The sequence below is a fragment of the Homo sapiens genome, chromosome 9 (assembly GCF_000001405.40).
Source record: "Homo sapiens chromosome 9, GRCh38.p14 Primary Assembly".
NCBI lineage: Eukaryota > Metazoa > Chordata > Mammalia > Primates > Hominidae > Homo > Homo sapiens.
Window position 1 is genome coordinate 82,249,118 of NC_000009.12, and position 26,020 is coordinate 82,275,137.

At 37.2% G+C, this 26,020-nt stretch overlaps 1 long non-coding RNA gene across 3 annotated transcripts in view, besides 1 other annotated feature; it reads left to right on the forward strand.

Annotated features, from left to right (window-relative positions):
• LOC105376107 (uncharacterized) overlaps positions 1-26,020 on the forward strand; it is a 378,142-nt gene that overhangs the window by 271,873 nt on the left and 80,249 nt on the right. For all 3 annotated transcript variants that reach the window (XR_002956914.2, XR_002956915.2, XR_002956913.1), the window contains exon 2: positions 24,290-24,364. This is a non-coding gene — a long non-coding RNA (uncharacterized LOC105376107). The remainder of the gene's footprint in view (positions 1-24,289; positions 24,365-26,020) is intronic.
• Positions 23,350-24,549: an enhancer, noted in NCBI's record as "P300/CBP strongly-dependent group 1 enhancer chr9:84887382-84888581 (GRCh37/hg19 assembly coordinates)". NCBI's record gives its function as "activates an origin of replication core promoter dependent on BRD2, BRD4, P300/CBP, MED14 and CDK7 cofactors, with strong dependence on P300/CBP, by STARR-seq in HCT116 cells {active_cell/tissue: HCT116}" and the evidence as "EXISTENCE:reporter gene assay evidence [ECO:0000049][PMID:35650434]".

Here is a 26,020-nt window from a genome sequence, read left to right on the forward strand (position 1 = left end):
AAAAATACAAAAAATTAGCCAGGTGTGGTGGCAGGCGCCTGTAGTCCCAGCTACCCAGGAGGCTGAGGCAGGAGAATGGCATGAACCCAGGAGGTGGAGCTTTCAGTGAGCTGAGATCACGTCACTGCACTCCAGCCTGGGCAACAGAGCAATACTCCAACTCAAAAAAAAAATAAACAAAAAACAAAACAAACAAACAAACAAAAAACAACTCAGTCAGGAAAATCCCTGTAAAAACTAGTTATTTCTATTAGTTTTTCTGTGAATCATCATCATGGAATCTTTTTAATCAAGAAAAATAGAGATTTGTTATTTATTACTCAGTGAATCTGAGATAGTCCCCATAGAAATTCAGAATGTTCAGAGAAACATTGGAATAATCAAATTGCCATTAAGACAGTCTAGAAATTTGGAATTATCTGAACTAACTGTGAAGACAACCACAAATTCACAAATTAACTATTTAGCTCATTCATTTCTTGCTTTGGTTATACTGACAGAGCAAATATGTTTGAGAATGAGTGTTTGGGGGTTTTTGCCCTCTCAGATTACTATTGCGTTTACCTATGGTGGTCCACCCGTCAAACCCAAAATATAATGGTTGAAAACAACAACCATTTCTTTGTTCATTATTCTTTGTGGATGTGCAATTAGGGCTGGGATTTGCTGGGATGGTTTGGCTCTGTACCACCAGATACTGAACTAGGCTCAATGTTGCATTTGAGCCATGGCTGGGGCAACTCAGGGTACTCTCTTCATGTTCTTAATTTCCAGGAGGTTAGCCCAATCTTTTCCACATAATGGTAGAAGAGTTCCCAGTAGGCAGAAAAGGTAAGTGCTAATGCACAACGTTTATTTAGCTTCTGCTTGTATCATGTTTGCTGATATTTCATTGGCCTAGCAGAGTCATCACGGGACAGGACTATACAGGAAATGGCTATAGAAAAGAATTATTCTCCAGAATTTATAGAAAGGAGTAAAAATTGATCACAATTACTAACACAAAACACATTAAACTGCTTTCTCTTTTAGAAGATGAGTATTAGGTCAGATCAGGTGGGCAAACTATGGCCTAGGGAACAAATCTGGCCTGCCACCTGTTTTTGTGAATAAAATGTTATTGAATCACAGCCACACCTATTTATATATTTGCTATAGTTTGGTTGTTTGAACCCCACCCCCACCCCACATGCACTTCTTGTTGAAATTTGATGCCCAGTGTTGGAGATCTAGCCTAATGGGAGGTATTTGGGCCATGGGGGTGGATTCTTACTTGGGGGTGAGTTAGTTGTTACAGAGAGCCTGGCACCTCTCCCCTCTCTCTCTTTCTTCCTCCCACTATGTGATTTCTGCACACACCAGCTCACCTTCTGCCATGAGTAGAAGCAGCCTGAAGCCCCCACCAGATGCAGATGCCCAACCTTACCTTTCCAGCCATCAGAACTATGAATCAAATAAACCTTTTTTCTTTACAAATTACCTAACCACAGGTTTTTTTTATAGCAACAAAAAATGAACAAAGACAGCTTTGTCTATAGCTCTTTTGCTCTATAATGGCAGAGTTGAGTAACTGCTACATAAACTGTATGGCCCACAAAGCCTAAAATATTTACTCTTGAGACCTTTACAGAAAAGGTATGCTGATACTGAATTAGATAATTTACCTTTTATCTGTCTCTAAATGGTAAAGCAAAAAGATTTTAACTGAATACTTTTTAACTGTAATCTAGTTCCAGGGTTAAAATTGAATTGTCTTTTGGGGAATAAAAAGTTAGGATGGGAAATGGAGTATTCCCAGTGTCCCTGAGACAATGATCTTTTTCCCTAGGAAAGAAGATATGTAAGAAGTTACTACTAAGATAGGTTGTATTTGGAGAAAAAGACAGGGAACTAATCATTTCCATGTATGTGTATGTGTGTGTACAGTTTAGATCTTATGGTCCAACACAGCAAGTTAATTCATAAGAAAGTCAATTTTCCACCCACCTTCTCACTTGACAATTTGAAGAGTTTCTGATTTTTACAAACAGCCAGTGAGTGATGGAAACCAGTGGATACTGCCAAATAATCTTATTAGATTATATATTATAAGACTGGAGAGCTGGTACAGAAGGTGACACATGCATATGGGTGCAGGTGTTTGCATATGTAGATTTTCATTGTCTTCTATATTATTAGCTCTAATTGGAGATGTTTCACATGAGAGAAATAATCTTACATGCACATACAACAAGCATAATATGATAATTTAATATAGTATATGCAATATATAATATATTGTAATATATCATTTGGTATAATATATAGAACAGTTTGGTATAACAGATATACACATAGAGAGATGAATAGACATACAGGTAGATAATATTGTAATAACATAATCTTACCAGGCCATGAACATTTCCTCAACTTGTTTTTATTCTTACTACCATCATCACAAATATGCATCTGATGGTAGTCTATGAGAAAAAGGATTCTGATTTTGTAATGCATTATCTTTATATTTTGTTGAAATATTTTGTTGAAGTTTTCTGTTGAATGTCACTTCAAAACTCTGACTCAGTCTAATTTCTATCAAGTTCTGAGTCTCGAGCAACCAAGTTGTTTGACATCATATATATATATAGGTTAGTATTCTATACCAGGTAAATGTCAACATTAGGTCAAGATACTGTTTAACAGTCAAGGATCAACACAAGTCAGAACAGGAGAAAACACATACTTTAAATGTGGCCTTCAATCTATGACTATTTTATTAGTCTTAAAAATTTAATGGTTAACATCTTTAAAGTTTGATATGGAGTTTTCTTTTGATTTGATGGTGGTGGCATTGTCAGGATTAAACTTATTTAACCAATGTGAAGTTCTTAGAAGAAATGAGGCATATACTGTTTGCTATTATTGTTGTTACTTAGCTTGCAATGAATATTAGTCTTGTAGATTCATGTTGATATCTACTACTGTGTTCACATATATATGTAAGTATATTTTTATTAGGTTAATGTGTATATACATACTCAACCCTATAAAAATATTAAAAACCTAGAGAAATAGGGCTGAGAGTTAACTCAGAAAGGTGAAGTGAGAATAAAAAATGAGAAACAAATAGTTATCATCTGGGAGAACTACAAGCAAGATGGAACATATGCAAGGAATTATTGCTGTGGGTGTTGAATATTTGTGGATTTCCCAATTCATCCCATATTGTAGATGCTGTCTGGGAGTGGACATGGTGGTTTAAAGAAAAACTTGATAAGACTGAACATAGATTTTTTTCTATCAGTTTTTAAAATAGACTTCATTTTTTTAGAGAAGTTTTAGGTTTACAGAAAAGTTGGCCATAAAGTGTAGAGATATACATCCCTTTTCACCTACCATCTTCCACCCAGTTTCTCCTATTATTAACATCCTGTAATAGTGGGGTGCATTTGGTACAATTGATTAACCAATATGGATATTTTATTGACTGAAGTCAATAGTTTACATTACGGTTCACTCTTTGTGTTGTACAGTTTTGACACATGAATAATGTCATGTATCCACCATGACAGTATAATATGGAATAGTTTCACTGTCCTAAAAATGCCCTATGCTCTACCTATTCATCCCTCCTCCTTCACTCTGAACCTCTGGCAACCACCAATCTTTTTACATCACTCAAAAATTGCCCCTATTACAACAGAATGAATAAGACCTATTATTTGATAGCACAACAGGGTGACTATAGTCAATACAAACTTAAATGTATATTTTAAAGTAACTTAAAGAGTGTAATTGGATTGTTGGTAATTCAGAGGATAAATGCTTAAGGGGATGGACATCCCATTCTCCATGATGTACTTATTTCACGTTGCATGCCTGTATCAAAACATCTTATGTATTGGATAAATGTATACACCTACTATATACCTGTGAAAAATTTTTTTAAAAGACCTATCAGTATCTATAGTTTTGTCTTTTCCAGAAAGTCATATAGGTGGAATCATGCAGTATGTAGTTCAGACTATCTTCTTTCACTAAGCATTATGCATTTAAGGTTTTTCCATGTCTTTTTATATCTTGGTAGTCTATTTCTTTCTATCACTGAATAAGATTATCTTATCTGGGTGTACCACAGTTTATCTATTCACCTATTGAAGGACATATTGGTTGCTTCCAAATTTTGTTAATTATGAATAGACATGCTTATTTGAAGACTTTTGTGTAGACATAAGGCTTCAATTAGCGTGGGAAAAAACCTATGAGTGTGGATTCTGGATCTTTTGGTAAGCCAGTATTTGGCTTTGAAAGAAACTAACCTATCTTTCAAGATGGCTCTACCATTTGCATTACCAACAGTGATAAATGTGAGTTCATGTTGTTCCATATCCTCTTCAGCATTTGGTATTGTCAGTATTTTGGATTTCAGTCATTTAATTTGCAGCTCCCGAACCATGTGCGATATCAAACATCTTTTCACATACTTTTTTTTGCCATATGTGTATCTTCTTTGGTGAGGTGTCTGTTCAGATGTTTTGACTATTTTTAAATTGGGCTGTTTGCTTTCTTATTGTTGGATCTTAAGAGTACTTTGTATATTTTGGATACAACTGCATTATCTGATATGTATGTCTTCTGCAAATTTTTTTTTTCAATTTGTGCTTGTCCTTTTATTCTGTTAACAGTGTCTTTTGTGGAGCAGAAGTTTTTAATTTCATTGCAGTTTAATTAATTTTTTTTATTTTATGGATCGTACTTCTGATATAGTATCTAAAAAGTCATTGCCAAACCCAGGGTCAGCTATGTTTTTCAGTGCTATTTCCTAGAAGTTTCCTACCAGTTTTAGGGAAATGATCCTTGCTGTTCAAAACTTTGTCTTCTTCAATGCTTTTCTCTCATTATATAATGGCTTTTTCTCTCTTGTCTATACTTAACTAAAGAAAACCTAACCATCCTTTGAAGAGTCAATTCAAGGCTCACAGCCTTTGAAACTTGTTCTGATTACATCAGACCACTTTGATCTCCTTTTTTGAACCCCTGAAGCTATGGCAATCTATACCACATTGTTCAGTACTGTATTATACTCTGCTTTTAAAAAATTATTTTCATGTGTTAATCATATCTTTCAGGCAAGATAACTTAGAAATTATTCATCCTTTATAACTACTAGCAAACTTAGTGTGGTTTGGACCTAGAACAAGTTCTTAAAAAATGCCAGAAACCAGGAAACACAGTGAAATTGTTAAAGGCTTGGGTTTTGAAGTTATAAGGTTTTTATTTCACCTGTGCAACTGATGCCTATATGATCTTGGCAAACAAATTATTGAACCTCTCTGACTTGAGCATATTTTTCTGTGACAAAAGGATAAGAATATTATCTACCTAATATGGTTGATGTAAGTATCAGCATGAGATAAATACATACAAAGCTCTTAGCATATATCCCGGCACATGGTATGTGCTCTATGTTGATGTTATTACTACAGTTGTTATCTTTATAATTAAAGTAGACTGACTACAGCATGAATGAATTAGGTTAGTTATAATGAAGATGAAAATATTTTTATGGCCTTTATATCTCATTATTATTATTGTTATGTTTAAAAGTACATGTTATTTAAAACTTGAACAAGAATCCTTTTGCCTTTGTCCTTCCAAATTGGATTCCGCTTTCATAACTACTACTAAGTATTCAGTTTAATGATCACATTTACTGTTAGTGATGAACACATGACCCAAGTGAACTTAGCCAGCCTTAAGGCAGTTCCTTTTTCTCCTTGTTGAGAAGAGGGTTTTTCTTGTTTCCTGCACAGAAACAATGAAGAATAAAGCCTCATTTGATCTTAGAACCCTGAAGGTAACTATCATCATGGATAGCAGTGCAGAGAGGTGAAAAGACCCTCTGCATGCTTGATAACATGTTTGAGTGTCTGTATAGGTGAGAAAATTTTGCTTATTGTTTAAAATCATTTTGAGACAGATTGCCTATTACTTGCAGCTGAAAGCAGCCAAAATAGTAGCTATTTATAACTTCTTTCTGCTTAATATAGACTGAGGTATGAAATAGTCTCCTTCTGACTCAGCAGTAAAATCAGTAAAAACCCTGTAACCATCTCCCTTGGAAATGAGAGCCTAACCACAGATATATGTATAATATTAATCATAGAACATCACTTTCTCCTCCAAAAGTGTGAACTATTGTTAAATCAGCAATCCACCCTGACTTGAGGGACAGTGAATAAAGAGAAGCTCTGCATGTGAAGGTGATAAGAGGATTCACCCACAGAGAGCAGAGAGCCATGCCTCTTTTCTGGTAGCCAAAAAAGTTGAATGTAGTCTGCCTTGAGGTCATTTCACTTTTTTCTCTAGATTGTCTGATGGTAGCTGAAAGCAAAATGTCTCCCTTAGGATGTAACCTCCCATAAGCTGAGGAGCTGAGCATTAACATGAGGGAGACAGAACAGGAAAGGAAGCCTGTATTCTTTCTTGGAGCTGTTAATAATGTACTGGACAAGGGCAATAAATAATTGATAGTCGTCACCTCACTGCTTCTTGGTTATTCATGGGCTTCAAGATGGTCCTTTATCTTAGCGCCATCTAATCGTGTTACATCACATGCACTACTCGTTGCCAACATTAATATGTCTGCCAGTGACATGTGCTGCACACCAGCTTTTCAGAGCTATCACAAACTGCTGATCTGTGCCAGTCAAGAGCAATGTAATTGTCACTCGCGGACAGAAATATTAACGCCAGACAGAATAGTGTAAATAATACAAAAAATAACCTCCAACCCCAACGACAAATCTCCATAATTAGGGAAAGGTCTCTTTCATCACATCCACCGTACAATTCCCCTGAATGAGAATTGCAGTAGTTGAGAGAGAAGCAGGCTCAATTCAGTCAGGCTGAGCACCTGCATTCTTTTGATTATGTACATTGCAGAGACAGAGTAGGTGTGTGGATTCTGGAGCAAAGCAATGGGAGATTGTAAGGGAATATTTTAGATTTTTCTTCCTGATACCTTTATATACACCTGCAGAGATACCACGGCAACCTAGCAGTGATTGCCTTTCATGACAAGGTGGCCACATTAACCCACATATGGTAATTTCTAAATATTGATTATAGGAAGAATGAGTGTGCCAAGTAGAGAGGTACTAAATTCAGAAAGGAGGAGAAGGCAAAAAATGTACTTTAATTGGCAGCTAAAACTACTTAGACATTATACAGCTCATTTTATTCTCAAAGTGTTCGAGAGAGTGTTACCTAATGAATCCTTTTTATCAGAGGCAATAAGATTCCCCCATGCACCTGTGGCAAATGCCATCCATTCTTCCTTCTTCCTTGCCAACAGAATCCCAATTATGAACAAGATGGCAGAATGCCTGGCTAAATACTAGCTTCCTCAGCCTTTGTTGTAGCTAGAGGTGGCCAAGTCAGAGTTCTGGCCAATGGGATAGGAGTGGAGGACTGTTGGGGGTTTCTGGAAATATTTTTTGTTTTCCTAATAAAAAGAGCATATGTTTCTGGAGCCACCCTTCTCTTTTCTACCCCTCCCTGTCTTCAATGTGTGGAGCTAAAGATGCTCCAAGTACAGGTTGAGAGATACACAGATATAGACCCTGACTTTGGTGAGCTGTGATTGATACCAGCAGTCAGCTCCTCTGAGATTCTTTTTATCTGAGAAAAATAACTCTCTTTTTTTTTTTTTTTAAAGTCACTACAGGTCATATTTTGTTACTTTCTGATGATCACATTCTTAACTATATCACCTAATCTAAAAGCCTTGCTAAAGCCCAACATTAAAACAAAACAAAAAATTTTAAAAAAAAACCTCTTTAATAGTCACATGGAAGTGTAACAACAGACAGGAATATACTAGTAGAACTAGCATTTATTGAGAATGTGCTATATGCCAAGCACTTTCTTTCTTTCTTTCTTTTTTTTTTTTTTTGAGACAGAGTCTTGCTCTATCACCCAGGCTGGAGGGCAGTGGCGCGATCTTGGCTCACTGCAAGCTCCGCCTCCCAGGTTCCCGCCATTCTCCTGCCTCAGCCTCCCGAGTAGCTGGGACTACAGGCGCCCGCCACCACGCCCGGGTAATTTTTTCTATTTTTGGTAGAGACAGGGTTTCACGGTGTTAGCTAGGATGGTCTCTATCTCCTGACCTCGTGATCTGCCCACCTCGGCCTCCCAAAGTGCTGGGATTACAGGTGTGAGCCACTGCGCCCGGCCAAGCACTTTCATAAGACCTTTGCATGCACCAACTCATTCAATTCTTACAGTAAGCTTATGGAGCATGTTCTGTTATATACCCATTTTATACATGGAACAAAGGCACAGTGAGGTCAAGCAACTTGCCTGAGGACCAAAGCTAAGAGGTGATGGAGCCAGGATTCTGGGTTCCAGAGTCTAGGCTTTTTTTTTTTTTTTTGAGATGGAGTCTCACTCTGTCACCAGGCTGGAGTGCAGTGGCACGATCTCAGGTCACTGCAACCTCCGCCTCTGCATCCTGGGTTCAAGTGATTCTCCTGTCTCCGCCTCCCATGTAGCTGGGACTGCCAGCACACGCCACCATGCCCAGCTAATTTTTGTATTTTTAGTAGAGACGGGGTTTCACCATGTTGGCCAGGATGGCCTGATCTTTTGGCCTCGTGATCCACCCACCTCGGCCTCCCAAATTGCTGTGGAGTCTAGGCTTTTAACCACTATTTTCTGATATGTATTTTCCATTTCATAAAAGCAGAAAACCAAGTCAAAGTCTTAATTGATGAATCCATGCCTACAGATAAGTTCTTTTTGATGTGTTCTGACTATTACTAGGAAAAAGATTCTTTTGTGAGATATGATTTCAAGCAATTTTTGTGTTGTGTGGAATTTTTGTTTCCAGAAGCTCTAAACAAAAAATCTATCCATCCATCCATCATATGGAGATTACCATGGCAACTATCTGCACTGCATCTAACATATTTGCATTGGTATATATTGAACTTGCCTGGTTCTTGAACTGTGGCATTTAAAACAACACAGTCTTTAAATTTGGATTATCCCAAAGTGGATTTCAAATCCAGCTGTATTGCTAATTTTTTTCCTCTGAAGGCTAGTACATTTGTTTGTTTATTCATTGATCACCAAAAATGAGATAGTTCATGTCAAAATGTTTGGAAGCTGTCAAACAAAAATCTATATAAATATAAAGAAGTATTATATTGTGGAGGGATTTTAATGTGATAAAATAAGAATTAGGAAACCCCAATTCTTCTGGTTATGTCCTTGAACTACTACGTGACATTGGGTGAGTCAATTATCCTTTCTGGGCATTGCTGACCTGACTTTTGTTCTCTGGGCCAATATAGCCCCCTTGCTCCATTTACCTACCAGTTAATAAAAATGAGCTAAGAACTTCAGTCATGTGTTTGGAGGTATTTATGCAGGACTCTACCCAACCTTGTTTTTTTCCAACTTGCTTTTACTAGATTTCATCTAATTCCAGGTCCAAATTCTTTCCTCTGTAACTCCAAGTTTAATTTCTTCTTTAAAAATAGGCTAATAATAATAGGTCATATTTATTGAGTGCTAGCTCTGTGTCAGACACAATGGGCAATGTTTTGCTTCTGCTATCTACATATCTCAACTAAGACATTCACCTATAAGCAGTGGTATGGCTTAGACTGATTTCTTCCCTCTGGTTCTTAGTGGCTGGTGCCAATATTCACTGGTTACTTAATATTTTTTATATCATCCTTGACTATAGCTCTAAAAAGGCAGGTCCTACTGTTATTTCTATTTTAGAGATGAGGCTTGTATAAACACTTGTATTTGGGATTCCTGGTAGCCCAAGGAGCACCATTTCCACTTTTGTAATTCATGTAGTAACAGGTCCCTTAGTGCATCTACCTTCTTACCTATATATAGATAAACTACTGTGTGAGTTTAGTCTCAATCCTTGAGTTTGGATTCTTAGAATTGACAGAAAAAAGCCACAGATGTATCTTCCCTGTATTTTCCAAAGGTTGTTCTCTTGCATATGGCAGAGGATTAAAGTCATTTTGAGATCTGAATTAAAAGATACTTTAGCACTTCTAGAAAGATGTGGTCTAAGCCAATATAAAAACTCTATCATTGTAAACCCTTCAACACAATAAGACAAATACAACAATTTCTTTTAAAAATTTATTATGTGGTCAGTAAGTAAGAAAGGAAAATCACTAGATGCCAGAAAAAAAAAAAGCAGTAAGTCCATAGTAAGTTCATGAACCAGTGCTACAACAGTCCTGGTTTGGAGGAAGATGAAGAGCAGATATTATATAACTGTTAATAGCTAAAGGCTGAAATTTTAAGATTCTGCTCACTGACCCAGAGAAATGACAAAACTCCTTTGCCTAGGATCTCTGTTTAAAAAGAAGTTTTATTTAGAGTCTGATTTTATGTTACCAGCATGGTGAGGAAACTCCAGTTGAATAGTGAACATAAAGGATGGCCCTCAGCTAATATTAGCCCCAGAGCACCTGGCATAGACAAACAGAGTCAGCTTGGAGGGAGACTTCCCAATTCAGGTTATATAGAATTCACATAGAAAAACTCAGGTTGAAGATGACCTCAGAAAAGTTACAAAAAACTTGAGGTTACAATTATAATTGAGAATCAGCAGATGCAGCATATATACCTAAGTATAAGAAAAGAAGAAGCTATTACATAAAAGTAGTATATCTGCAAAATATTCTTAAAAATAACTTTTAAGGACATAAAATATAATCATTGTTATAAAATAAAACCAGATAGATTAAACATCAGATCATACATAATTTAAGAGAGAATGGACTGAAAGATCAATCTGAAGAAATTAGGTTGATTACATTTCAGATGAAAATGATATGGAAAATATAGAAGAGAGGTTTACAAACATGTAGGGCAGAATAAGAAGTTCCAACATGTCTAAAAGAAATTTTAGAAGGAGAGAATCTAACATTCAAAGAGCATTGGGTTAGAATTTTCCAGAAGTGATCAAACATATCATTTTTATTTTAAGAGACACAAGTTCTGACAACATAAATTAATCCATACCTGGAAATATCATAGAAAAACTATAGCATGCAAAAAAAACAAAGAAAAAAATATAATGGCTACTACAGAGAAAAAAAAACAGATTACCTACAAAAGAAACAATGATTAAGGTGAAAGTGTATATAACTACCACAATAAAGGAAAGAAAACAATGGAATAACATGTTCAAATGTCAGTTTAGAATAGTTGTTTTAAATTGCCTGTCTTCTCTGATAATTCCAACATCTCTGCCATGTGTGAGTTAGTTCTGATGTCTCTTCATGCTGTGTTTTCTCAACTTTTAGTATGCCTGGTATTTTTTGTTGAAAGCATGATGTATAAGTAAAAGTAACTGAAATAAATAGGCCTTTAGCGTGAGGTTATATGTTTACCTGACTAGAGGTTAAGTTATGTGAACTGTTTACTGTTTGCTCTAGCAATAGGTTTCAGAGGCTCAAATTTCCTCATGTACCTGTATTTTTGTCTTCTCTGTTGTCTTTGCCTTTCCGTAGAGACTTCTTAGATAACATCTGAGATGGACAGTTCTTTCAGTTGTATTTCCCTATGATTAACGGGAATCCTATAGATGTGTTGGTGAGCAGGGAGGAGGGGAAGTGGCTTACAGTCCTATAAATATGTCTCAGTCTTTTAGTGAGCCTGTGCCCCTGGACTGTGACCTTCACAAATGCTTTTTAGTTTAGTTTTGTTTTTTCCCCTTTAGGTAGGACAAGAAGTTTGGCAGGGAAGGCGGTGGGGGTTGGGGCTGGAGTTAGGTATTTTCCTTTTTCCAGATCAGTTAAAATAGTTTTAACTCTCTGGTAAAATAGCTTCTCTTGAGAGCAGAGAAGAGAGCACTCCAGGCATTTCAAAATGGCTACATTTCCCTTCCTCCAGCACAAGAGGATTTTTCTCCAATCTTTATTATGAGAACCTAGTAGGATTCTTGAAGATAAAACCCATGTAAGTGTGGGGACTACCCTAAGACTGGGCACCCCTTAGTTCTTAACTCTCAAACTTGTCCACACTGAGCCTCTAGCAATTTAATTACAGTTTAGGTTTTCCTAAACTGGCACTGCTTTCTGCAGAGGTTTCTACCCTGGGAAGGTTTGGTTTTCTCTATCTGCCTGTCTCCTCAATTTTGGAGGCAGTGATTTTTTGTTACCTTAATTCTCTGATGGTTCTAAGGAGAGTTGTTGATTTTGATTTTATTCAGCTTTTTTCTTGTTATATTGGTAGAGGTGATGAATTCCAAGCTCCTTACATGCTGTACTGGACACTGGAAGCTCCCACAGTTTAGAATATATCTGATAAAGTACCATTCAAGAAAAAGAGAAAATAAAAAAATTTTAGATGCCCCCTGCCAAACTAAACCCCAAACACTACTACAAAAAACAAATAAAAGAAATCTCAAAGACAAAAAAGACAATCTTGATATGGTTTGGCTGTGTTCCCACCCAAGTCTCATCTTGAATTGTAGTTCCCGTAATCCTCATGTGTCGGGGGAGGGACCCAGTCGGGGTAATTGAATCATGGGGGCAGTTTCCCCTGTACTGTTTTTGTGATAATGAGTGAGTTCTCATGAAATCTGATGGTTTTATAAGCATCTGGCATTTCCCTTGCTGGCACTCATTCTCTCTCCTGCTGCCCTGTGAAGAGGTGCCTTCTGCCATGATTGTAAGCTTCTTGAGGTCTCCCCAGCCATCGAGAACTGTGAGTCAATTGAACCTATTTTCTTTATTAAGTGCCCAGTCTTGGGTATTTCTTCATAGCAATGTGAGAACAGACTAATACAGTACCCCACCCTGCAAAAAGGCTGTTAAACTTTACCACTCACAGATTCTCAATGAAAGAATATATTTTAGTAAGAAAGGAGTAATAGGACATAAAGAAACAATGAAAATAAACCTTTAAGCCTTTTTTTGATCATTGGTGATTCAGAATACAACAGGTTTTTCTAATGGTTGGAACAACAGAAACTTTACCATCCATGATTTTGGATTAATTTTGTGTAACCTATTCAAACACATTTCCATGATTCTCCAACATCATCTCTCATTTACTATCACAAGGAACTATTCCCCATTCTCTCCCCATTCCTACCTGCGATACCCATTCCCATGCTGTTCTTTTACTTTGAGTAACTTATTTTTCCCTGGTTACTTATCTATAATTATGCTTGAAGGTTCAGTTATGTTCTGTCTCCTCTGTTTGCCGCTGAATCATTTCCAAAATTTGAGAATTGAGAGGTCTTAAATCATGGGCCTTTTATGCCTTGGTGTCTGGAGTCTTTCATTCAGTGCTTTTGTTCATATTCTTAAAAGACAATTTTTTACAAACATTTCCATTAACAGCCTCCTTTTCCTCAGATGAAGTGTTATAAGGCTGTAGGATTTTTATCAAGTGAGATGTAACTTGTTTTCATCCCTGCAGATGGAGTGGAAGCTCCTCAGGTTCAGGAACGAAGATGTATTTATTCTTATATATAATAAGATCTGTCTGTCAATATCATAAAATAGGAGTGGCTATCTAATTTCCTTTTGACTAGTCAGACACAGAAACTTCAACCAAGTGATGCTTTTTGGGTCATTGTTTTCAAAAAGCCGTGAAACATGTCTTATCCTTCAGATACTCTTCTGTCTTAATATTTGGTCAATTTGGCTTCAGACTAGTTGATATTGAAAACCAAAATGATTTTTTAAAAATCGTGTCAGCTAATGTATGGCTTCTCAAACATGCCCATGTGGCTTCAAACATTTGCATTCATATTTGTGAGTACAAATTGCCTATATTTGAATGAGCCATTAGTAGACTATTGTATTAGTTCATGCTGCTGATAAAGACATACACAAGACTGGGCAATTTATAAATGAAAGAGGTTTAATTGGACTTACAGTTCCACGTGGCTGGAGAAGGTCTCACAATCATGGCAGAGGGTGAAAGGCCACTTCTTACATGGCAGTGGCAAGACAGAATAAGGAAGAAGCAAAAGCAGAAACCCCTGATAAACCCATCAGATCTTGTGAGACTTATTGACTATCACGAGAATAGCATGGGAAAGACCAGCCCCCATGATTCAGTTATCTCCCCCTGGGACCTGCCCACAACACGCAGGAATTCTGGGAGATGCAATTCAAGTCGAAATTTGGGTAGGGACATAGCCAAACCATATCAGCTATTAAAAAGTTCTGCCAGAGAACAACTTAGCTCCTTTTGATGTCACTTTGAAGATTTAAATTGCTGTAAGAACTAAAAGAACACCCATCCATGACCACATACTAATAAAACAGATATTCAAATGCACATATAAAGAATATTTTTTAAGCTTGAATTCTCACATTGAGCACACACACACATGCCCGTGCACACACACACACAATAAAAGCCTGTTCACATTTGTAATCACTTTACATTATCTACATATTTAGATAACTATTTGTTTGTCTTTTTTTTTTTTCTTGAGAAGCAGAGTGCAAATTAACTGCATTGACTGAACATTGAACTATCTTTTTCATTCCTCTCAGAAGTAATCAGTTCCCCATGCTGTGTCTGGTCCTTGGTGATTTTGGCAACTCATTAGACCTATAAGCAGTTGTAGGATGGGTTGTATCAGTTGAGTTGGTAGAATGCTGGTGCAATCACTGATGTTAATATTGAAGTCATTTACTGACATGATGTCACTGCATAAGTAGTGACCTCATTACCCTGTAATTTATGTTGTTTCCCTTTATTGATTTTTCAACTACAGTGTGCATGTTTATCTCAATGCTAATATAGTTTTATTTGAGAGATCTTGGAGTCATGAGCCTTTCACGCATTGGTGTCTGGAGTCTTTCAGTGTTTCTTTCCATATTCTTGAAAGGTGCTTTTTCCCAAACCCTTCTATTAGCAGCCTCCTTACTCTCATGTATAGTGTTGTAGGGCTATAGGATTCTCATCAAGGCTTCTTTTCTGCTTATTTCTGCTTTGTCCAACTAACAATGTTATCACTATTCGTTTTTTTCTTTTTTTTTTTTTGAGACAGAGTCTCGCTCTGTCGCCCAGGCTGGAGTGCAGTGGCACGATCTTGGCTCACCGCAAGCTCCGCCTCCCGGGTTCACGCCATTCTCCCACCATAGTCTCCCGAGTAGCTGGGACTACAGGTGCCTGCCACCACACCTGGCTAATTTTGTTTTTGTATTTTTAGTAGAGATGGGATTTCACCGTGTTAGCCGGGATGGTCTCGATTTCCTGATCTCGTGATCTGCCCTCCTCGGCCTCCCAAAGTGCTGGGATTACAGGCGTGAGCCACCACTGTGCCTGGCCATTTTCACTATTCTTAAAGGAAGCTTTGGTTTACAAAGGTTTGCTACTGTACTTCCAGGTTTAAAGTTTCATCTACGTCCTCAGTCACTCAGAAAGGACGTAAAGCACATTAGAAGGTTGAGTCAATGGGGAAACAATTACAAAAAACAGTTAATATGTGACTTCTCGTATCTCAAACCAACAGGAAACACTTTCAGATGAACATCTGTTAAATAAAGGTATACTTGTGTTCAGAATAACGTCCATTGCTTTAGTTTAGCAGGAATGACTTTCAACTTATTAACACTTTCAAGTTAGGTCTGAGAATCTGTATTCTCTCTCTTGAACTCCCTCTCTCTCATTTTCCATATGCAACTCTGACCATGCATGTGAAGATTTTATTTCAGTAAGTGAAATTTTTAATAAGCTCTTGAGAATAAAATGTTAGGGATAACTCAGGAAATTAAAATTCTACTTAAGATAGTTCAGGTAAAGTCTGTTGGAAGTAATTATGCAAAATGTAAACATACATTTAAATGATGTTTTATCTAATAATGATTGTTTAGAAGTTTTGGAAATAATTTTCTTTACCTTGATCAAATAAGAATGCAAATCTGAGTAATTCTTAGTGGGCCAATACACTGAGCAATTTTGTGGTAAGTCTAGTTAGTCAAAGCTCTGAGTGTGGCTTATGAAGCTAGATTTTGTGAGCTCAGATCTTGTCGTTACCACTTATAAACTGTATAAGTTAGAAAGTTATCTAATTTCATTTTTCCTGTTTTCTTATTTGTCACATAGGTAGATGATAATTTAACCTCAGAGGGCTGTTCTGAGGACAAATGAGTTAGTACCTGTAAATTACTTAGAGCAGGGCTGGGCACATAGCCCTGCTAGCAAGTACTCAGATATTAGTTTTAAAAGACTCAAATCATAGAGCTATATGCTTTTGAAGACGTTTTGTTTTCCTGCGGTACAGATAGAAACTGCAAATCTTTAAAATATATTTAGACTTTGCTAGCTGACAATTTCTATAACAATACATCATATCATTATAAATTGTGATCTTATACTGCAAAATATAGAAGCCACATAAAAGCTTAAATTTATAAGGCTATCTCAGGTACCTATCAGTAATACTATAGACAGCATAGTACATAAAAGTGACAACAAGCTTCAGCGTCTCTGCAATAACCATGGAATTCAAAGTTGTCTGAAAAGTAATTTTAAATTTACTAGTTTTCTAGACCTGTGTATATGGTAGTGGTGGTGGGGTCATTTATTAGAACAAAAGTTCTTTGTGAAGGCTTTCATGAATAAAAAGACAAAAATTACTCTAAATGTTAGGCTTTTATGTGTTACTTCATAGTGCATTTTCTAAAAGAAGCAAGTTTCATGTTCTTAATAATTTGAGTCTTGAAACCAGAAGCTTGTTTGCTCCCTGGGTGTACCAATAACCATTAACCCATCTAGACCTCAGTTTTTCTCATCTGTACAATGGAGATAATAATACATAGGTTTCTGAGACACAAGTTAGATAATATGTATGAAAACACTATTTATATTATAGGATTCATTAGACCACTGTATGACTGTAGTGTTTCTAAAACGTTGAAGTTCTCATGGAAGTTATTTAGGGCTGCATAAATAAACAAGTTCTGTCATCAAATGAGTTTGGGAAACACTATTGACTTGTAGCAGCTACTCTTAGCTCTGGAGGGATTCCTCAGGACTTCCCACTTCCATGCTGGAGCTGACTTCCCACTGCCTGTGCTGGAAGTACCCAGAATTCACCCACTTCTGGGGCAAAACCCTTCCAATGCCTGACAGCAGTTTTTGTATAAATCCAGAGCTTTCTTGCCCCTCAGATGGAATAGATCTAAGGTAGAGATTCTAACCTGTGTCCCAGCATTTCCCTGTGGAATTATGCTCCAGTTGTCCTCAGTACCTGCTGACTTTATAACACACCCTTGATTGCTTGTCTTTTCTTCCTTTTTCACTTTTCCATTCCCTACCCTTGTTTTCTGCACCTCCTGCAAATACCACTAGCATTTGAATCCTCTTCTTATGGTCTGCTTCTGGGGGATCCCAAACTAAGACAATAGAATAGCATCCTTTGTGGAAATTCACAATTACTTTTGCATATTAAAGACTTGGAGAAGCCCAGAAACACTAACTCACTGACATTTCACAGATTTTAGTCTTCCAACCTTCCTTACATCATCTGTCAAAAGAGGAGTTTTGGTCAGGTTAGTGGTTTTCAATCACTTTTTATCAATTATAAACCTTTAAAGACTGAAATATTATGTGGAATTGCAAATTACAAGGTATATATTTTGCATATGTATATGTATAAAATTATTTTATGTATGTAATTCATAACACTAACTTATTATAAATAAATCAATGAGAACAATCTAGCTATTTGGAATAACACCTGAACTTTAAAACTGGGATTGTAAACAGCAATTGAAGTTTTTATCAGTCTCATCATTGAATTTATTTTTATATTTTATTTGTTTTGACAATGTTGGAATGTTACAATTAAATGCTTACAAGTTGTACCAGTGTTTAAATGGTCTGTTTTGCAATTTCAGAAGTATTTTCAATTGAACTGAATCAAAACCTTGAAAGAGGTGGTAGAAACTGTTAACGCCAAAGTTAAATCAATGCCAAAGTATATGAACTGTCATACACCATTATTAGTAAGCTTCCAACTAAGAGTAAGTTCATGCTCATGTGCCTAAGTCAGTCATATTCACTTCTTTTATAGGGATATATGTTTCTAATATTCTTTATATCATCAAGAAATATTTAAAATAGTAATTTATATACTTTACATATTTTAGTGCCTTTGCTTGTTAGAAATCCAAAAATTTTCCACCAGTCAGTTTTACAGATATTTATGCTTAGCATATTATATTCAAAGACTTAGTTTGTGTCATTTCCCCATAAAATATCTGTAGTTGTAAGTCCTGTGACATTATAACCCTAACATGCCAAACTGAACTTGTTCCACTTGTTAAATATATCAGGTAGTGGAATCATATTGTGTTTGGAATATGCTTAGTTAATGAGGTTTATTTTATAAACAAACATACATCTGCATTTTCATTAGAAATAATCATATAATACATGTGCTTATTTTGATTAACATACCTAGTTAGGTTCCCTACGAAATGTGAATTACACTATTCTAGGCCATTAGAATCACAGATAATTCCCAAACTAGAAAATATAAAGAGAACACTTATTTGTGTGGCTTGTCCAGCTCTATTTGAATATCCTGGCATACAGCATCAGGGCTCATCTACACAATACATAGTTGAATATATTTTAGTAACCTTTTTTTTTTTTTTTTTTTGAGACAAGGACTTGCTCTGTCACCCAAGCTGGAGTGCAGTGGCGCAATCTCCTCTCACTGCAACTTCTTCCTCCTGGGTTCAAGCGATTCTCCTGCCTCAGCCTCCTGAGTCGCTGGGATTACAGGCACATGCCACCATGCCCAGCTAATTTTTGTATTTTTAGTAGAGATGGGATTTCACCATGTTGGTCAGGCTGGCCTCAAACTCCTGACCTCGTGATCTGTCCACCTCAGCCTCCCAAAGTGCTGGGATTACAGGCGTGAGCCACCGCACCCGGCTTTTAGTAACCATTTTATTTCTTTCTTTTTTTTTTTTTTTGAGACGGAGTCTTGCTCTGTCACCCAGGCAGGCTGGAGTGCAGTGGCTCAATCTCAGCTCACTGCAAACTCCGCCTCCTGGGTTCATGCCATTCTCCTGCCTCAGCCTCCCCGGTAGCTGGGACTACAGGCACCCGCCACCATGCCCGGCTAATTTTTTATTTTTATTAGAGACGGGGTTTCACCATGTTAGCCAGGATGGTCTCGATCTCCTGACCTCGTGATCCACCCGCCTTGGTCTCCCAAAGTGCTAGGATTACAGATGTGAGCCACCGTGCCCGGCCTTTAGTAACCATTTTAATACAAGCTTTAGCTCCTGTGTGTCACATCATTTTTCAGACTGATGCTATATTAAAAATGGGACTAAATGCTTAAAATTTTTTTCTATTTTGTCTGTGTACAGTGTTTTTACAAAGTAACACATCTATCTTTTCTTCCATGAAGTTATATAAAAATGAGCAAGGAAAGCTCTGCAATACCTTTTATCTCTGGCCAATTGATTTGTAAAGAAATGCACTAATGGGGGACTTTAAATTACTTCTTCATGTACCTTCTTTTTTATCTGAATTTTATTTTTCACATAAGGATACAAATTTTATTATTCTGCTCCATGCCGTCATAACATGCTTTGGAATGCCAACAGAGCAGGCTTTAGTAAACTCCACCTTGACCACCTCAGTGTTACAGTATGCTTCTCTATGTGTATTTATTATTCTATTTTTTTTTTTTTTACTTTGGATGATTCTTTAAGTGCATTTTCATTGTCAGATTTTAATTTTGTTTGTGTGTCTGCAAAGGCACATCCTCAAAGCTTGGCCTCCACAGGAAGCATTTTAAGATTCTCTTCCTTATAAGAAATTACAAATGAAATTAAAAATCAAGATTTCTTGAGTTCTCTCCTTCATTAAAAAAATTATTAATTATTTTAGAGATAGGATCTTGCTCTATTGCCCAAGCTCGAGTGCAATGGTGTGATCACAACTTACTGCAGGCTCAAACTACCAGGCTCAAGAGATTCTCCTGCTTCAGTCTCCCAAGTTGCTAGGATTACAGTAGCCTGCCCAGCTAATTTTTTTTTTTTTTATTAGTAGAAACAGGCTCTCCCTATGTTGCCCAGACTAGTCTTGAACTCCTGGCCTCAAGCAGTCCTAACACCTTGGCCTCCCAAAGCACTGAGATTACAGGTATGAGCCACTGAGCCCGGCCCCACTTTCACTTTTATTATTCAGAGATTGTGTTTGTTTCCTGGGACCAGATATAGAAGATTTTGCCCCAGGCTTGTCATCTATGAAATAAAATTAGTGCTGCTCTCTCAAATCAAACATGGAGAGGATAAAATAAATGCCTTACAGTGCCCTTTGAAGACACAAAGGAACCAAATCTAATATTTAATTATGATGTTTGTAAACTAGAAGGACAGAGATGGCTAGGTTGTTGGGAGAATTAGCAAAAATTATTTAGTACCAATTAAAGTAACAGAGCTCTGAAATAAAATTTATGTATTTGTAATGTATATTCAGCAAATATTTATTATTTATGTCATGCACTGTCTAGGCTCTAAAATACAATTGATAACAAGATAATCACCCTCTCTTTCCTTCTTAGATCTTACAGTTTTCAGTGTTACAATAAGGAAGTACAAGGTGGTATGGGAGCATATTATGGGAAAAACTAACATGGTTTACCTGGTAAAGGGAAGACCATGTTAGTTTATTTTAAGTTCGTTAGAATATTTATGCCATGAAATTTCATCCACAGTAATTGGGATCCATATGTTAGAAGCCATTTTCTCAGGTTTCAGAAAACCATCACGTATAGGTCATGCATCTTGGTAGAGTCAATGGTTTTGAATTAGCACTGTGTCTGGGTTTACGTATGTCATTAAGTTAAAACTAAGTTCTACATTCAGAACTGATATAGGTTCTAATTACTTTTGGTGCAAAAGTAATTGTGGTTTTTTGCCACAATTAAAATGGCAAAACTATAATTACTTTTGCACCGACCTCATAATATCATTGACTCTCGGAGAGAGCTTAGACCTCAGTTTCAAATGCAGAACTGAATTATTATCTGCTTCATTCACACTCTAGAAATGGATGATTGTGAAATAACTGCAATTGTATTAAAATAGTCACAATGGAATTAGAGAGCTGCTGAATAATAGTTTTAGTACATAAATGTCTCTGCTTCCTCCTCAGAAGCCAAATAGGCTTTCTTATAATGTGTTGATTCAGGTTAGGATAGCCGGAATGTTATGAATGAGAAAACTGGATTTGGAAAGAAGTCTTCAGTACATATTTAATCTGCCTGATACTGGTAGTAACTTTTTCTCTCACTTTATTAACAAGGATATGTAATAACATATCTTACCTTACTCCCTCCAATTCCTAAACTCGTAATTTCAGACTTAGGTCTTAGTGTTCCTGAATGTGTCACTAATCAATTTTCTGAAAAGTCTTACAGTACCACTAATTTATGAAAGAGATAGTGTGGGTTTTCTGATGGGCTGCTTTAAGCTGCTGGGGTGTGGCATTTGTATCACTGTTCCAAGAGAAGAGAGGCAGAAAAAAGCGAGTGGGTGGGTAACCCAAGGCTCCTTTTCACCTACTTTGGGTTTTTCCTGGGGCCAGGCTTGTGTGTGAGACATGTTAAAGCTAAACTTTCAGGTCTTTTTATTATTGCTATAAAAATTTGCATATGGTCCTGTTAGAAAAGGAAGAACAAGGAAAAATAAGCAGATGAAAAACAGGTCCATGGGTAAAGACATTTTCAAGTATTTCTGAGATCAATCACTCCACTTCCTATGTTTTATAGTTAGGGAAACTCAGCCCAACAAAGTAGATATATATTTATTCTTGAAATCAGAAACCAAATAAAAAGTTTTTGTTGTTTATTTTGAATTAACAACAAACTTTTTCTTCCTTTTTCCCCTTTGCTGAAAACATAAGAAAAATCATTTGTTGAATTAATCTAACCTCGGGTAAATAGCTATGACTCTCCCATGATGTGTGATCTCTAGGAGTCTTAACATTTTCTAGGTCTCTAATTCATGCAACAAATATTTCTAAGTGTGTATGTGAGGGTGGGTGGGTGGATGTTAGTGGTGGTAACCACACACATGTATTTAGAATATCCAAGATGCATTTGGCCCTAAGCAATTCCTTCTTCACCTAGTTTCTAAACCCATGTGTATTTCAAGAGAATCTTAATCCATATGTTCCTGATTTACTTTCACTTAGTCATCTGCATGTTGTTGTTAAGAGTCCTTTGATGTGTAAGAAGACTTATGAGCAATTTTTATGGCCTCTACGGGCCTTTGTTCTTTCAAGAGGCAAGATGTGCTTTGCTTGCATGGATGGCACTCTTAGTGTAACAATCCAAAAATTCCCTAAAATTTGGAAAGAAGACAGGGAATCCTAATCTGGACCAAAGGCCCATTCTTTTTCTCAAGGCCAAAACTTTAGAGAAAAGGTCTCATCTGACTCAAGAGAGGAATATGCTGTCAGCATTCCAGCATCACTTTATTTTGTGCTTTGATCCTTCTGTGTTGGTGCAAAGTGATTCCTCTTGGCTCTTTGGGAGGGATAGTTTATTAAAATATTATTTTGTGCTTATGATCCCTTCATTTTTTGTCTTTCCTCACTTCACATGGGGGACCAGGCCTTTAATAATCCCCTGCCTCAGAGAATGGTTTTTTTTTTTTTTCTTTTGGTAGGGTTGAGAGCAGAATCCTAAACTTATTAAAGTCATTACCCCATTTAAGTTGTAATTAGATAGCCCTGAAAGTATGGAGAGAGAGAGGGAATTATTTTTTAAGGCAGGGAGTCCAGGAAGGGTCATCCTTTTGGCTGAGATGGCAAAAGAGAATAATAGGTCCATTTGGAATGAGGCTCATATCCCACTTCTGGCAAAGTCCTGGAGAGGTGACAAAATCTCAGAAGCGATGACGAACGGAAGCACTGGGAGTTGCATCCTGAGTTTAGGAGTTCCAAATGTGGTCCAGTTTCCTATATTCCATGCAAGGCAGAGAAGCAGCTAAGCTGCCTGTGACCTACAGGAACCTTATGGACTGGCTCACTGGGCATCTCAGGAGGGACCAGTGTGAACAGTGTGAGAATTCCCTGACACTTTGGTGCTACACAACACCTTGGGACCTCTTCTCTCTGTAGGGGCAATAATGACTAACACTGAATTTTCTTCAGTACAGTAGAATGAAGCTGTTATCAGATTGAAGATGACAAAGAAAATGTGGACATGTGACATACCTGAGTCTGTAATAAGATTTATTTGTGCTACACTCACTTGTATTTATTTATTTATTTATTTGAGTCAGGGTCTTGCTTTGTTTCCCAGGCTGGAGTGCAGTGTCAAGATCACACCTCACTGCTGCTTGAATCTTCCAGGCTCAAGTGATTCTCTCATCTCAGCCTCCCTAGTAGCTGGGACTGCAGGCCACCATGGTCAGCTATTTTTGTTTGTTTGTTTGTTTGTTTTTCAGCAGAGACAAGGTCTTGCTATGTTGTCCAGGCTCGTCTTGAACTCCTAAGCTCAAGCAATCCTCCCATCTCAGCCTCCCAAAGTGCTTGGATTACAGGCGTGAGCTACCATACCCAGCTCTTTTTATTTTTGAATACTATAAATATCAGTCCATCTCCTAGGTGATACTATCAGGCTTTGGACTGGGGGAGGTGGTCAATGATATAAAAGAAGCTGCCCTCCCTGCCTTCAAGTTACTTATAACAGAGTCATAAACAGAGGCAAGGCTGTCACACTGATTTTTGTCAACTTTTATAAAATGCCTTAATAAATTCTAAGCACGATAATAATTGCTTTAAATGGATTATGTCATTTAATCTTTGCAATAATTCTACAAAGCAGAAACTTTTATTATCCTCATTTTACAGATAAGGAAGCTGAGGTTTAGAAAGAAGGCAACTTCCCAAATATCATGCAGCTGGTAAATGATCAAGCCAGGACCTGATCTGAGTCAATTTGATTCTGGTTTCTATGCTCTTAATCCCAATTTTATACTATAACACCCCACTTTCAATACTAGACAGATCAACGAGGCAGAAGGTTAACAAGGATATCCAGCTAGCTTTTGATAAGCTATAAACTAGTTCCTATAATTAAATGTGGTGGAGGACAGGAAGAGGGAGTGACCAAGTTAAAAAAGAAGAGTTCAGTGAAGGCTGGAGTGACCAGGGATGGGCTCATGAGGAGATGAGGTTTAAAATGAGTCATAGAGCAGTAAGCTTGTAATATAACTTAAATACCATCTAATTTGTTCACTGACCTTTACAGATATGGAAACTGAGCCCTCACACATGGACTGAATTCTGACAAGCAGAGGATAAAGGCAGAACAACATGACTGAAGGTATGGAGGTGGGGTTGCTTATAGCATAGTCATTTTTACGGTAAGAAATCAAGCCAGAGTACAACAGAAAGTGATTTGGGCAGAGACGTAAGTTACAGTCAACACTGTAGGACAGTGTGGTGGGCAGAAATTGTAGAGATCTGTGAACTGTAGGCCATAACCCTGGACATTATCTCAAAATATATTTCCGACCTTAGTGTCTTGAGCGTTTGTCAAAAATATTTATTTCTGGATCCCACGATATATCTAAATCAGAAATTTTATCTTGATAGAAGTTGGTTTTCGGCATTTTTCACAGGCCCTCCACTCCAGCGTCCTAGTGATTCAGATATTCACTGAAGTTTAAAAGCTATTGCTGTGGACAGTGGGGTCAGGTACATGGCAGTCACAGGAGATTCTGGGACAGAGAACAGGCCTATGAGAACTTATTGTGGTAGAACATGGATTGGAGACTATCATGATCAGCCCAGATATGGATGTCATTTAGGATACAGCACAGGGCTTATTGTCTTGGAAATAGCCTAGTGTCTAAGAGAACAAATAGAAACAGCTGAATAAAGCTTCATTTGGAAAACAAAACAAAACAAAACAAAACAAAACAAAACAAAAAACTAATAGACTTGGTGACCAGATAGAGTGTTCAAATCATTTACTAGTCCTGTCATCTGTAGCTCATAAATAGTTCTCAGCTGCTACTAGCTTTCTCCATTCTTATATCTTAGGCCTACCTTATTGCTGCTGTCTTTCTTGCTATTTTCCCTAATTTAATCCTGTCTGCTGCCCCGTCCCCATGCATTCCTCACTGTTGAGAGAGTGACGATTGTAAAATGCAAAACCTGCCATGTGACTGGTCTGCTTAAAAGTGTTTAACGCTTTTCTGTTGCTCTCAGAATAACTTAAATTTACTTAAAAAGCATACAGGGCCCTTCATGGTTTATCCTTTATGACTTCTGAACTCCTTTTTCTCTTGCCACTCCTTGTACCTCTTGGTCTCAGCTATGCTAAACTTGGATATCCTTTTCACAACTCTGAATCTTTGCACATGTTCTGCTCTCTCTTTCTGGAACACTGTTCCCCTCCTCTCTTCTCTAGTTAACTTAGATTTCATATCCTCCTGTAAGCCTTCCTTGACCACCACCACCCTGCTCCAGATGGGTTTAGGACCTCCTCCTTTGTGTTCCCATTGCACTCTGTTTTTTCACCTAATGTACAAGCTCCTTGAGGGAAGGCCATGTCTTATTGACGATTGTAACCTGGCAGCTAGTATGGTGCCTAGACCATATAGGTCCACATGAAATGTTTGTTCAATGAATGAACAAATGAGTACTCAAAAGAGAAGGAGGAGCCAAAGATTTCACCAAGGTTTCATGCCCCATTACCTGAAGGAATGATGATGTCAGAGCTCTTACTCATCTCTTCAACAAATTCTACCTTAATCTCAAAGAAGATACAGGGTCCTTTTCTTTGTCAGGGCAAAAATATAGTAACAAAAACTCCAAAATCTAAACCATTTTAACTGTACCTGTTTCTTGAGCACTTAGAAGTTGACAGCTCTTCCAATCAGAGGAATAATGGTCAGATTGTATGTGACAAGACTGAACCTAGTATTATCAATTCTATCTTGGATAAATCATGTTAAGACAGAGGGCTACCCAG